Here is a 13367-nt window from a genome sequence, read left to right as displayed (position 1 = left end):
TGAGGGCTAATGAAATGCTCTCTTCAAGAATGCTCTATTTCTCAACTTACAGAGCCTACTCTATAACAGCCATTCATCCTTCTTATCCTTTCCTATTAGTTGTTCTTTGCTTTTGAATCTGATCACTGAATCCTATTATGGAAATTACTGACCACTTTGAATGTCTTAATCCCTGGAGGCTGGTCAACTCCTCCCAACATTCAACAGGAAGGAGAAATGCACAAAGAAAGAAATCTGAGAGCCTCTACATTTTTTTGACTCTCTTTGGAGTACTACAGATGTATCACTTTGCAAGCAAAAATCAAATGTCCCAGGTCCCTATATTAGCTTTGCTAGGGGAGTTGGTGCAGTCCATTCTGTACACCCACATCATATTCTAGCTCATAGCAATCCAAATATGTGTAGTGTTGAAAGAATAATTGGTTTTTCCACGGTGCTGTTTTCCAAATACTTTTTGTTTCTGTGAAAAAATCTAATGGGTACTTATGCAGATAAGTACCCATAGCTTTGCTAATTTCTCTCCAAACATGAAGCAATTCTTTTAAGGAGGTGCTGCCCTACTGTTGCTGTGGATTCAAAACTCAGGTCAGGTGTGTTAAGTTTAACATATTGCCTAAAAGCTGCAGCAGATTGCTGCAGAGGTGATGAAAGATGGTCCAAGTTCTCATAAGAGGCAAATGCACATGGAGAATTAAGTTGCACACAACACGCAACTGAAGTTGCCTCCATTCATGGGACTCATCAAACTTGTGTGATCCCTATTCTTCATGTATTTATTTTTAACTCTGTTAGGCAAGATTGACAACATAATTATACTACTTAAAAAATAGAGTTTATTTTAAAGATACACGTGGGTCAGAACTACAAAACCAACTCTCCATCTCTTCTCGGTTTGGATGATCTCTCTTTATGCTATCTCAATTGCTTTTAGTGTGCCTGTTCCATCTTTGTCTTAATACACAGTGGCTGATTGTCTCTATTCCTTCTATCCAACTCCCAGAAAAAGTTAACCTTACCGTTGTTCTAGCTACTTAGCATTACCACACTTTGTCAGTTCTCTATGCGTTTTGGCTATCTCCTGGGCTTTCCTAGGGCCAGATACCTGTCTTCCCGATATGACCAGTAGCCAGTTCTGTGCAATTTTTTTGTTATTGTTGTTATACTTTTAGTTCTGGGGTACATGTGCAGAATGTGCAGGTTTGTTACATAGGTATACACGTGCCATGGTTGTTTGCTGCACCCAACAAATCAACCCATCATCTACATTAGGTATTTCTCCTAATGCTATCCCTCCCCTAGTCCCCCACCCCCCAACAGGCCCCAGTGTGTGATGTTCCCCTCCCTGTGTCCGTGTGTTCTCATTGTTCAACTCCCCAATTGCAGCACTGTTCACGATAGCAAAGACTTGGAACCAACCCTTTAAATGCCCAGCAGTTTTTTTAAATGCAAATTTAAAAAAAAAGGCCAGTTTCCATTTGCATAAAACATAAAAATATAAAAAAATAAAGAGTTGAGTAATGATATAAATGGTTTATGTTCCTGATCACACTCTCTTTTCACCTCTCCCACTTTTTTTACTCCCACTGAATGTGTTCTTAACAATGATTGAAATGTCTAATCATTCAACTTCTCTTTCCTCTAGGCCTTCTGGCCCTCCTGAGTCTCATGTGGCTGTTCCCAGCTGTGATCCAGTGACACATATTTCAAACATGCTATCATATCACCAGAAGTCTTGATTTATTTCATCTTTCCCTCCCTTGATTATCTCATTTCAATTTACTGACAAAATGAAATCCATCCATTATGAAATATTTTTATGTATCTCCTCTCCATCTCAGAATTTCTTTCTTAAACCAACTAGTCTTTTCTAGTTCTTATTTTTTAGTTTATGTTTCTTGTTTTAAATATACATATACCTTAATGTTTTTTAAAACCAACCTTTAGCTTGGCCATAATCTCTTTTTTTCCTGTTAACTACAAGTTACACTCTATTCGATTACCTCCTATTAGTTTCTACATAACTTTTCTCTTACAGACTTCTGCTAAGTGTACACACATGTTCTAGTCTAACTAATTCCTCACATCTATTAGAGTTTAAAAAATCCTTCCTGGCGGGGCACGGTGGCTCACGCCTGTAATCCCAGCACTTTGAGAGGCCAAGGCGGGCAGATCACAAGGTCAAGAGATCGAGATCATCCTGGCCAACATGATGAAACCCCGCCTCTACTAAAAATACAAAAATTAGCTGGGTGTGGTGGCACACGTCTGTAGTCTCAGCTACTCGGGAAGCTGAGGCAGGAGAATGGCTTGAACCGAGGAGGCGGAGGTTGCAGTGAGCCGAGATCACGCCACTGCACTCCAGCCTGGGCGACAGAGCGAGACTCCGTCTCAAAAAAAAAAAAAAAAAAAAAAGTCACATTTCTTTCTTAGCCTTTAAATCCAAGTCATCTATTATCTGCCTCTGACATAAGTTCTCAGAATCCTGTCCCATTAGATCTTACCATGTGAGTGCATTTTTGCTATGCTGGAAAATTTGTAAGGCTGAACACAACATTCACTTTCTCATTCTGGAAATACACTGATCTTTCAGCCGGAAAGTCCTTCATCTCGATTTATAAAACTCTCTCCACTTTTCAACGCTCAGATTGATAGCCAGTTCCATTTTTATACTACAGTCATGCACTGAATAATGATGTCTTGGTCAATGATGGACTGCATATGTGACAGTGGTACTATAAAATTATAATACCATATTTTTACTTTACCTTTTGTATGTTTAGATACACTAATACTTAGGTTTGTAGCTTAGGAGTGATAGGCTACACCACGTAGCCTAGGTGTGTAGTAGGCTGTACCATCTAGATTTGTGTAAGTACATTCTATGATGTTTGCAAGATCATGAAATCACCTAACAATGCACTTCTCAGAATATATGTATATCACCATCATTGAGGAATGCATGACTATGGTTGTATCTTCAGTGCTAACAAAAATAACCAGGAAACTGAGGACTGCTCAATCCTTTTCTCACAATAAGGAAAAATACCATAGGAATATCAATAAGCCTCAGACCCATTAGGATTTGGAGATAGGTCTATATCAGCAACCTGTTTGAGAGTAGAAAGGACAGGCATTTTCATTTCATAACTATGGCATTACCTATGTGAAAACCATTTTTTCCCCTATGTCAAGTCTTATGAAACTTAGATTTCTTCATCTTCCTGTAGTGGGCTCATTTTTGCTCCTGAATCAGACCTCCTGATTCCCCAGGCACTTCGTAAAGGCTTTCGTCTCTTTAATTTCAATCAGCTTTCAATTCTAACATATGGATATTTTCTTTGTTTCTCTCTACCCAGGTTTTACAGAATTCTGGAAATTAGCCTAAATTGGTAGTAATGTTATAGTCTTTAAATTGCAGTCTCAAAAACTTGACCCCATTGACTGGGTTAGTGATATGGTTTGAACGTTTGTCCCCTCAAATCTCATGTTTAAATGTCATCCCCATTGTTGAAGGTAGGGCCTGGTGCGAGGTGATTGGGTCATGGGGATAGATCCCTCATGAATGCCTTGGTGCCCACCTCATAATAATGTACGAGTTCTCACTCTGAGTTGATAGGAGATCTAGTTGTGTAAAAGAGTGTGGCACCTGACCCAGCTCTCTCCTTCTTGCCATGTGATATGCCGGATCCCCCTTTGCCTTCCACCATGATTGAAAGCTTCCTGAAGCCTCACCAGAAACAGATGCCTGCATCAGGCTTCATGTACAGACTGCAGAGCCATGAGCCAAAATAAGCCTCTTTTCTTTAAAAATTACCCAATCTCAGATATTCCTTTATGGCAATGCAAGCAGACTAACACAGTTGAATTGTCTCCCAAAATTCACATCCACATGGAACCTCAACTGTGATCTTACTTGGAAATAGGGCCTTTGCTGATGTAATTAGTTAAGATGAGGTAATACTAGGCCCTAAATCAGTGGCTGGTATCCTCATAAGAAGGCCATATGAAATGAAGGGAGACACAGGGAAGAATGCCATGTGAAGATGGAGGCAGAGATTGGAGTTATGTGTTTATAAAGCCAAGTAACACCAGAGATTGATGTCAACCAGCAAAATCTAAGAAAGAGATGTGGTACAGATTCTCCCTGCAGCCACCTTGGTTTTGAACTTCTAGCCTTTGGAACTATACAGAAATTTTTTTTTTTAATTTAAGCCACCCACTTAATCCATGGCATCAAAGACTTGACACCTAGATTAAATCAGAACACATCTTCTGCAATCTTGTTTGAGTTTGTGTGTGTGTGTGTGTGTGTGTGTGTGTGTGTGTGTGTATGTGTGTGTTTTATTCCTGACACATGCCAGAAGATTGCAGCCTTGAACCTTTGGTAATAGACTGAGGAAAATTCTCTGAGAGCCTGCTTTCCTATCCAGCTTCTCTTTCTCACTGCAGAGTTCATATTTCCTATGTCAGAATGACCCTCAAACTATTCCAGGAGAATATTTATCTGAAGCTTTAATGAAATTCAATTTGGACATCAAAAGCCTGTTCCTTCATTATCAAACCTCTTGATCAAAACACATTTTTCTGCCTGTTGTAACTTCATAGTACCCTCTGCCTCCACTATATCATGTTCTGCCTTAAGCTGGAGCTAGTAGCCCAAATATTTTGCACGTGCCTGCCTGCACCCCCAATACAAAAGCCCAATTAAACTCTTAAAGGCAAATACCAGCCTTCATTCATATTTGTCTACAACACAATGCCTTCACTAATAAAGTCATTCAATACCCATGTATTTGCAGCCCATATTATAACAGGAACATTTCAAAGTACTTAATAGGTGTTTGGTCAACATGCTTTGGATCAAAATGAATGATATCTAAAGCTTTCCTTTTCTTCATTTTAGCCTGTTGAAAAATGAGCCTGGACTCACTTTGCTTTAGCTTAGCTACCCTTCTGGTTAAATTATTTGATATCAGATACCACTGACATCCCTTCTTTTTCTTTGAAACAGGAAACAATGCCAAGAATACGTTAATCTAAACCCATGATGTTTCTACATCTCAAAGAACAGAGAGAAAAGGAAACTGGAGAGAGGCCAGAAGTGACCAACTCTATTCCCTCATTTCTGTGTTATACTCCCTTTGTCTAATCTTCCCTACCCTACCAGGTGGTTTAAGAATTTTATCCTTTCTCCAGACTAGAAGAGGAAGTGGGGGCCGGAATTAGGTGTATACAAATTGTTGGAAAGCCTTTGTGTGGATTTGGAGGGCTGAAGTAGAGTATCATTTTTACAAAGCAGCCCAAGCCTCTAATCTGAGCAGGAAGATTCACACTCATTCTCTGGCATGAGTCCTATCAGGAGGATCAATGAAGCCAAGGCTGTAGAAATAAATAATTAATCTCTCCACCCAAGGAGGCTAGTAAACAATATTCAATACGTGAATACTGAGTTCTGCCAAGAGGAAGAAGCATATAAACCAGGCAACTGCTGAACGCATTGCCAAAAAGGGAGACTTACGCATCATTCACTAAAGCTTTCCAAAAACTAAATCAGATCCAAGAACAGATAAACTCCTGCAGAATGACAATGGTGGAGAAATTGACCTCCCAGCATTGCAGACTTACATCAGTTGTTCTGATGTTCTTAGTTATATCAGATTCCTTCCAGAATCTTCTAAATATATCAGACGGTCAGACACAACCCCAGGCCCTAATAAAAAACCCTGATGCTGGCCTACAGATGTGCAATTTAATAAACTTTCTCCATGATTCTGGTACACATCCAACATAGAAGAACCACTTAGTACTTCTCTCTGGCTCATATTTCTTCCACTATTTACTAAATGTCGACCTTAGGCTAATTTCTTAAATCCGTGTCCAAGGGTTTCTTTAAATGGAGATAATATTACCTTATCGTCAATCTATTGTAAGAATTAGATAAAAGGGTGCATGCGAAGGACCAAGCAGTGTAGATGTCACACTGTAAGTGCTTAATACGTGTCTCAGCTTATTATTCTGCAAGAGAAGTTAACTACCTAATAAATTGTGTAGATATCAAGTGCCCCTCATGGCACTTTAATCAAAGAAATCTGTTGTTAATTCCTATTGTAAACCTCAGTTGCTACATCAGCCAGCTCTTCAAAGGGATAAATATGACATTATTATTTTCTAAATGACTTTTATTTTCTAAATGCTCTTAGAGTGTTTGATCCCCCGGAAGCTATCATCATTAATGATTTCTCGAGTATACTGAGAGTAATGTTTAGGTGTAAAGGAAGTGAAAAGTAAACATGAATGCTTCTTTGCTCTTCAAAGATGAAGGTTCTGAGATCAAAGAGCCTGAGTGATGTGACCACATCCCTAAAGATGGTGCCAAATGCCGCCCTACTGATAAGGCTGCTGTGGGGACCGTGCACCTGTGTTCTTCTCTTAATACTTACTCTGGGTCTCTGTTGACAAGGAACATTTTGAAGTTTCTAAGAATTATTTAATAACCCTAATAATCATTGTTTCTTTAGTGACTCAAGTCTACACCTGTAATGCTCAGGTTTTTCTTTCTTTTTTCAATCGGGGAACGTATTTTTTTTTTCTTGTAGTCTCTTAAATAACAGATTATATAATAAAAAAGAGAAACTTTCTCAAGAAGGAAGCTATCTGCACTGCTCTGCTGAACTCTAAGCCACCTCTGCTACTAAAACAGATAGTAGCCCCTGTTGGGGTCTCTGGAGCAGGGAAATCCAAGCTGTCATGGAGCATGTATTCAGTAACCAAAGAGGATTCTACAAGTTTTGTTTTTCTGGCTAGGTGACTTCAGCCCATCAAAGACAAAGATGAAATAAAATAATCTGAATGATCACTCTCTCTGTTCATTTTTTTACAAATAGATTTTATTTTTATGGCAATTTTAGGTTCAAAGCATAATTGAGCAGAAAGTACAGAGAGTTCCCATATATCCCCTGCTCCTAAACAGCACAGCCTCCCCCACTATCAATATCACACCCCAGAGTGGTACCTTTGTTGCAATCAATGAACCTACATTGACACATCATCATCAACCGAAAGTCCACAGTTTACATTAAGATTCATTCTTGGTGTTGTACATTCTATGGATTTTCACAAATGCATAATGACATTTATTTAATATTGTAAATATATTGTTATCTACAATCTAGACACCACTGTCATGTCACATAGAATAGTTTCACAGCCTTAAACATTCTCTGTGCCCTGCCCATCCATTCCTTTCTCCCCATTAACCTCTGGCAACCACTGATCTTACTGACACCATATTTTGTCTTTTCCAGAATGTAATATAGCTAAAAACATTCAGGATGTGGCCTTTTTGGATTGGCTTCTATCACTTAGTAATTATGCATTTAAGGTTCTTTCATGCCTTTTCATAGCTTGATCGCTCATTTCTTTTTGGTACTGAATAATACCTCAATTGTCTGGATGTATCATAGTTTATCCATTCACCTCCTATTCTATTCAGTTTTTATTTCTTTTTCTTCTTCTCCTTTTTGTTTTTTTGTTTTTTAGAAACAGATTGCCTAATAATGCCAAATGCTACTCTACTGGTAAGACTACTGAGATCTAGATTGTAGATAACAACCTATCTACAATAGTATGTAAATGTCATCATGCATTTGTCAAAATCCATAGAATGTACAACACCAGGAGTGAACTCAATGTAAAAATGCCTCACTCTATTGCCCAGGCTGGAATGCAGTGGCACAACCTTGGCTCACTGCAACCTCAAACTCCTGGGCTCAACCGATCCTCCCACCTCAGCCTCCTGAATAGCTGGAACTACAGGCAGGAGCCACCATGCCCAGCTAATTGTGTTTTAATTTTTGGTAGAGACAGGGTCTCACTATGTTGCCCAAGCTAGTCTCAAACTCCTGGGCTTAAGCAATTCTCCTGCCACGGCCTCCCAAAGTGCCGGGATTACAGGTGTGAGGCACCATGCCGATCCTCTATTCAGTTTTAATGCTTAAAATTCTCTTCTCTTTTTCCTCCACTGCTAGGTTTACTAAATTTTGCTTTGCCTTATGTGGTGACTGTAGGAGTGCATGACTTGAAGCTCTTGTGACAGGGAACATTATCTATTGACAACTATCTTGATCCAACCCTGTGTTTGCATGGAGGTGATGTTGCTGTGGGCTGCCTTCAGCCAATGACTGTACACAGAAGGGGCTAAGGGACTCATTCCTACCAATAGTAGGGCTCTACAGAGGGCGACTTTTGTGTGAGAACTTCCCAGTGGCTTGGCCAAAACTTCCTTGAAACTGAACTGCGGTAGAGACCCTTCTTGCCCAATTCTTCTTCCATTCTTGTCTCCTCCCACAGATGTCAGACCTGTTTTGAAATTGGAAAGCTCACCCTACATTCATCTGCTTACTTCTACTATAAAGCTCTTGTATATCTAATCTTATCTTGCTTTATGCTTCCCAGGGCACCTGAACTCTCCTAGGTACAATAATTTGGTCTGTCTATGCAAAAGAACAAATACTTTTCAACATCATAGATTCCACAGACTAGTGTTTCTGCAACTTTATTGTATATACTAGTTCCTAGGAGTCTTGTTAAAATATATAATCTGATTCAATCAGGATGAGGAACGGCCTGAGATCCTAACAAGCTCCAAAGTGATGTTGATGTTGCTTGTCCTTGCACCACACTTCGAATAACAGAGTTCTAGACATGTAAGTTTCCTGTATTATAAATTATTCCTTTTGCTCCAGATACTTCAGTTTAAAAGCAATATCCTTAAAGTGTTAGTTTCAAGCACATCTTTTAATAAACAAGGGGAGATATCTAATTGAAGTTATCATCGTGAACACTTTCACACACAATCAAAAACTTTTGCCTAGACAAATTTACTGGGCTTAAGGTAACATATTGTATTTCAAAACATAAGGAATAAGTCCTTACTGTAAATAGACACAAGTCCTTGGAAAATTTAATCACAATAGTGATTAGAACAATTTTTCTATCCGCCTTAAAACACACACACACACACACACATACACAGACAAACATACACACTAAACCTCCCTTTCTTCCTTTTTTTATTATACTTTAAGTTCTGGGATACATGTGCAGAACGTGCAGGTTTGTTACATAGGTATACACATGCCATGGTGGTTTGCTTCACCCATCAACCTGTCATCTACATTAGGTATTTCTCCTAACGCTATACCTCCCCTAGCCCCCCACCCACTGACAGGCCCTGGTGCGTGATGTTCCCCCTCCCTGTCTCCATGTGTCTCATTGTTCAACTCCCACTTATGAGGTGTTTGGTTTTCTGTTCCTATGTTAGTTTGCTGAGAATGATGGTTTCCAGCTTCATCCATGTCCCTGCAAAGGACATGAACTCATCTGCTTTTATGGCTGCATAGTATTTCATGGTGTATATATGCCACATTTTCTTTATCCAGTCTATCAATGATCGGCATTTGGGTTGGTTCCAAGTCTTTGCTATTATGAACAGTGCTGCAATAAACATACATGTGCATGTGTCTTTATAGTAGAATGATTTGTAACCCTTTAGGTACGTACCCAGTAATGGGATTGCTAGGTCAAATGGTATTTCTGGATCCTTGAGGATTCGCCACACTGTCTTCCATAATGGTTGAACTAATTTACACTCCCACTAACAGTGTAAAAGTGTTCCTATCTCTCCACATCCTCTCCAGCATCTGTTGTTTCCTGACTTTTTAATGATCGCCCTTCTAACTAGTGTGAGATGGGATTTCATTGTGGTTTTGATTTGCATTTCTCTAATGACCAGTGACAGTGACTTTTTTCCATATGTTTGTTGGCCACATAAATGTCTTCTTTTGAGAAGTGTCTGTTCATCTCCTTTGCCCACTTTTTGATGGGTTTGTTTGCTTTTTTCTTGTAAATTTGTTTAAATTATTTGTAGATTCTGTATATTAGCCATTTGTCAGATGGATAGATTGCAAAAATTTTCTCCCATTCTATAGGTTGCCTGTTCACTCTGCTGATAGTTTATTTTACTGTGCAGGAGCTCTTTAGTTTAATTAGATCCCATTTGTCAATTCTGGCTTCTGTTACCATTGCTTTTGGTGTTTTAGTCATGAAGTCTTTGCCCATGCCTATGTCTTGAATGGTATTGCCTAGGTTTTCTTCTAGGGTTTTTATGGTTTTAGGTCTCATGTTTAAGCCTTTAATCCATCTTAAGTTAATTTTTGTATAAGGTGTAAGGAAGGGGTCCAGTTCCAGTTTTCTGCATATGGCTAGCCCGTTTTCCCAACACCATTTATTAAATAGGGAATCCTTTCCCCATTGCTTGTTTTTGTCGGGTTTGTCAAAGATCAGATGGCTGTAGATGGGTGGTGTTATTTCTAAGGCCTCTGTTCTGTTCCATTGGTCTATATATCTGTTTTGGTACCGGTACCATGCTGTTTTGGTTCCAGTACCATGCTGTTTTGGTTACTGTAGCCTTGTAGTGTAGTTTGAAGTCACGTAACGTGATGCCTCCAGCTTTGTTCTTTTTGCTTAGGATTGTCTTGGCTATACGGGCTCTTTATTGGTTCCATATGAAATTTAAAGTAGTTTTTTCTAATTCTGTGAAGAAAGTTAGTGGTAGCTTGATGGGGATTGCACTGAATCTATAAATTACTTTGGGCAGTATGGACATTTTCACGATATTGATTCTTCCTACCCAAGAGCATGGAATGTTTTTTTTTTCCATTTGTTTGTGTCCTCTCCTATTTCCTTGAGCAGTGGTTTGTAGTTCTCCTTTCTTCCTTTCCTGTGGTCTTTGTATCAGCTTGTTGGAAATGAGACTGTGGAAAGCAATGTCATTTAGAAATAATTAATACATTTGCTCATAATTTCTAAATCCTCACATTAGCTGTGAGAGGGTGGAGCATTTTGTTTCCTATAAGAGCTTTCACAAAGCAACTTATTGCCATCCTTTGATGAGGGTGTATTTTACAGGCCTTATCTTATAACTTTCCCAGGTCTGAATAGTCCAAATTCCAGATTTAAATAGGTTTTAAGAAATAGTTGAACTATGCAATATTTTTTCATAAAACTTTTTTCATCTTCCTAGTAATTACGGTTGTTTTATTTTCACTGTTTTATTTTTCTATGCTATCAATTTGGTTAAAGTTTAGTTCCATGGTAAATATATAGAAATCCAAATTAAGAGAATGTTCATATGTCATTCTTTGAATATCATGATTCATGCCACATACACTATGCCAGAATTTCACCGTCACATATATGTTCATATGGCCTACATAACTTTCCTTTTACCATGAATTATTTTATCAGGAAAAAAATCTCATTTGCTGATCACTTGTAGGGAGATATGTTGACATTTATTAATTTAATCACCAAATACATAATATTTAAAGATAACTTTATTTGAAAAAATTCCATAAAATTACATTAAAATATGATATTTTCTCAAAGGAAAATGAATAAAAAGTATTCATCACAGGATGTCTCTAGAAAGTATTTAGTAGTAATAGTAGTGCTGTCCAATAAATATATAATGTAGCCCATATGTGTAACTTTAAATGTTCTTAGAGCCAAATATTTTTCAAAAGTAAAAAAGGAACAAGCAATGTTAATTTTAATAATGTGTTATTTAACCCAATATATAAAAAGATTATCTTTTAAAAATGTAGTCAACATAAAAATCACTGATCAGCTATTTTACATTTTTTTTGGAATTACATCTTCAAAGTCAGCTGTGTATCTCATACTTGCAGGATGTCTCACTGTGAGTCTGTCACATTTTGAGTGCTCAGAAACCATACTTGACTAGTGGCTACTGTATTCAGCAGTGGCAATCTAACAGATGAGATAAGGAAAAGTATGAAAGCCAGAAAAAAAAAGCCAAAAATGAGTTAGATGATGACAAAAATTTTAGCGATGATAGCAAGACTGTATGTATGTGTATATATATGTGTGTGTGTGTGTGTGTGTGTGTGTGTGTGTCTCAATATATGGATATATGACATTTGTGACTATTTTTAAGGCTAGAAGAATAAGAAGACAAAGAGAACACACTCATCAATATTACAACGTTAAGCTATAAAATACAATTACAATTATGCTTACATTGGATAAAATACTTTTTATGATTTATTATTCTTTTTGGAAATAATGTATCTTCCCTGCCATCATGAACATGTGTTTGTAGATCTAATTGGAAGTGCAATTTAGAACATAACAGCAAGTATTTTTTGAGCACGCACTTTGGGCTTAGCACTAGGTTAGAGTTGTGGGAATTTCCAAAACATCAACACATTTCCTATCCAGCAAGTGTGATGTATTGGAAGGAGTCAGAGAGGGCTAGATTTGAATCCTTATGATCAACTTGCTACCTTCTCTAAACTTCATTTGTTTCCATAAAATAGGTGTAATAATACTTATCTCACAGTGTATAGTATTTATTAAATGAGTGCAATGCCTGTCTCACAAAATTGACCTTACGGAAACAAGCTGCTTTTTATCTCCATGACTCTATTTGATAGTAGATTACCATCTACTTTGTGCAGGGAAGATAATGTCTCAAGTACTTCTCAAGCAAGTCAAGACAGCCTTTAATGAAAAGCTTAAATATGTAAGGTATAATAACAGACCCATAGAAGTTTAGAGAATAACAATTGAAGATTATCCAAAGGGAAGGGCGTTTGAATTTTCTTTCGTCATCATAAAAATTTAAGGAAGAAAATTTGGGGAAGAAAAGATGAGGGGAAGAAAATTCTAGAGAAGAGGATCAAGGCAATAGCTATGCAAGTAGTGGGCATGGTAGGGTAACCAACTAGGCCAATTTGCTTAGTACAGAGGAGGTCCCCAGAGTGCAGGACTTTCAGTGCTAAAACCCAGACAGTCCTTGGAAAATTGGGATGTTTGGTCACCGTAGCACAAGGTAAAAAGTTCAGTAGGTGCATTGGTAAAGAGAATGAAGAAGCTCAGCTTGATGGTCACAAGATTTTCATATTATGAGATGAATAGAAAATAGAGTTAAATGGCAAGACGGAGCAAGGTTTTGATGGATCTTGAAATACACGTAGGGCAATGTGAAAAACACTAGGGAGTATTGGCCAAACACATTTAACAAATGTGGAAGAAAAAAATGGTCTATGCATCAAGAGAATTGAGTCTTAGTTCTGGTTTTGCCACCAACTCTGACTCCCCCTCAACTTTTACATCTGGGGACTCATTTTTTTTTTCACCTGTAAATAAGGCGGTTGGAGCAGATGACCACCATAGCCTAGGGTGGCTGCAATCGGTTGCGATTCAACTGATGGCAACAAAGCTCTAATATCCAGAATCTGTAAGGAACTTAAACAAATTTACAAGCAAAAAAACAAAACCCC

At 38.1% G+C, this 13367-nt stretch overlaps 1 long non-coding RNA gene across 1 annotated transcript in view; it reads left to right on the top strand.

Annotated features, from left to right (window-relative positions):
- The window catches only part of CASC17 (cancer susceptibility 17), a 104406-nt gene extending 97550 nt beyond the window's left edge, over nucleotides 1-6856 (top strand). Inside the window, exon 4 of the long non-coding RNA NR_104152.1 lies at nucleotides 5012-6856. This is a non-coding gene — a long non-coding RNA (cancer susceptibility 17). The remainder of the gene's footprint in view (nucleotides 1-5011) is intronic.
- The last annotated feature ends 6511 nt before the right edge of the window (nucleotides 6857-13367 follow it).

The sequence above is a fragment of the Homo sapiens genome, chromosome 17 (genome assembly GCF_000001405.40).
Source record: "Homo sapiens chromosome 17, GRCh38.p14 Primary Assembly".
Lineage (NCBI taxonomy): Eukaryota > Metazoa > Chordata > Mammalia > Primates > Hominidae > Homo > Homo sapiens.
The sequence above is the reverse complement of the archived record's forward strand: the minus strand, read 5'-3'. Positions and strand labels throughout refer to the sequence as shown.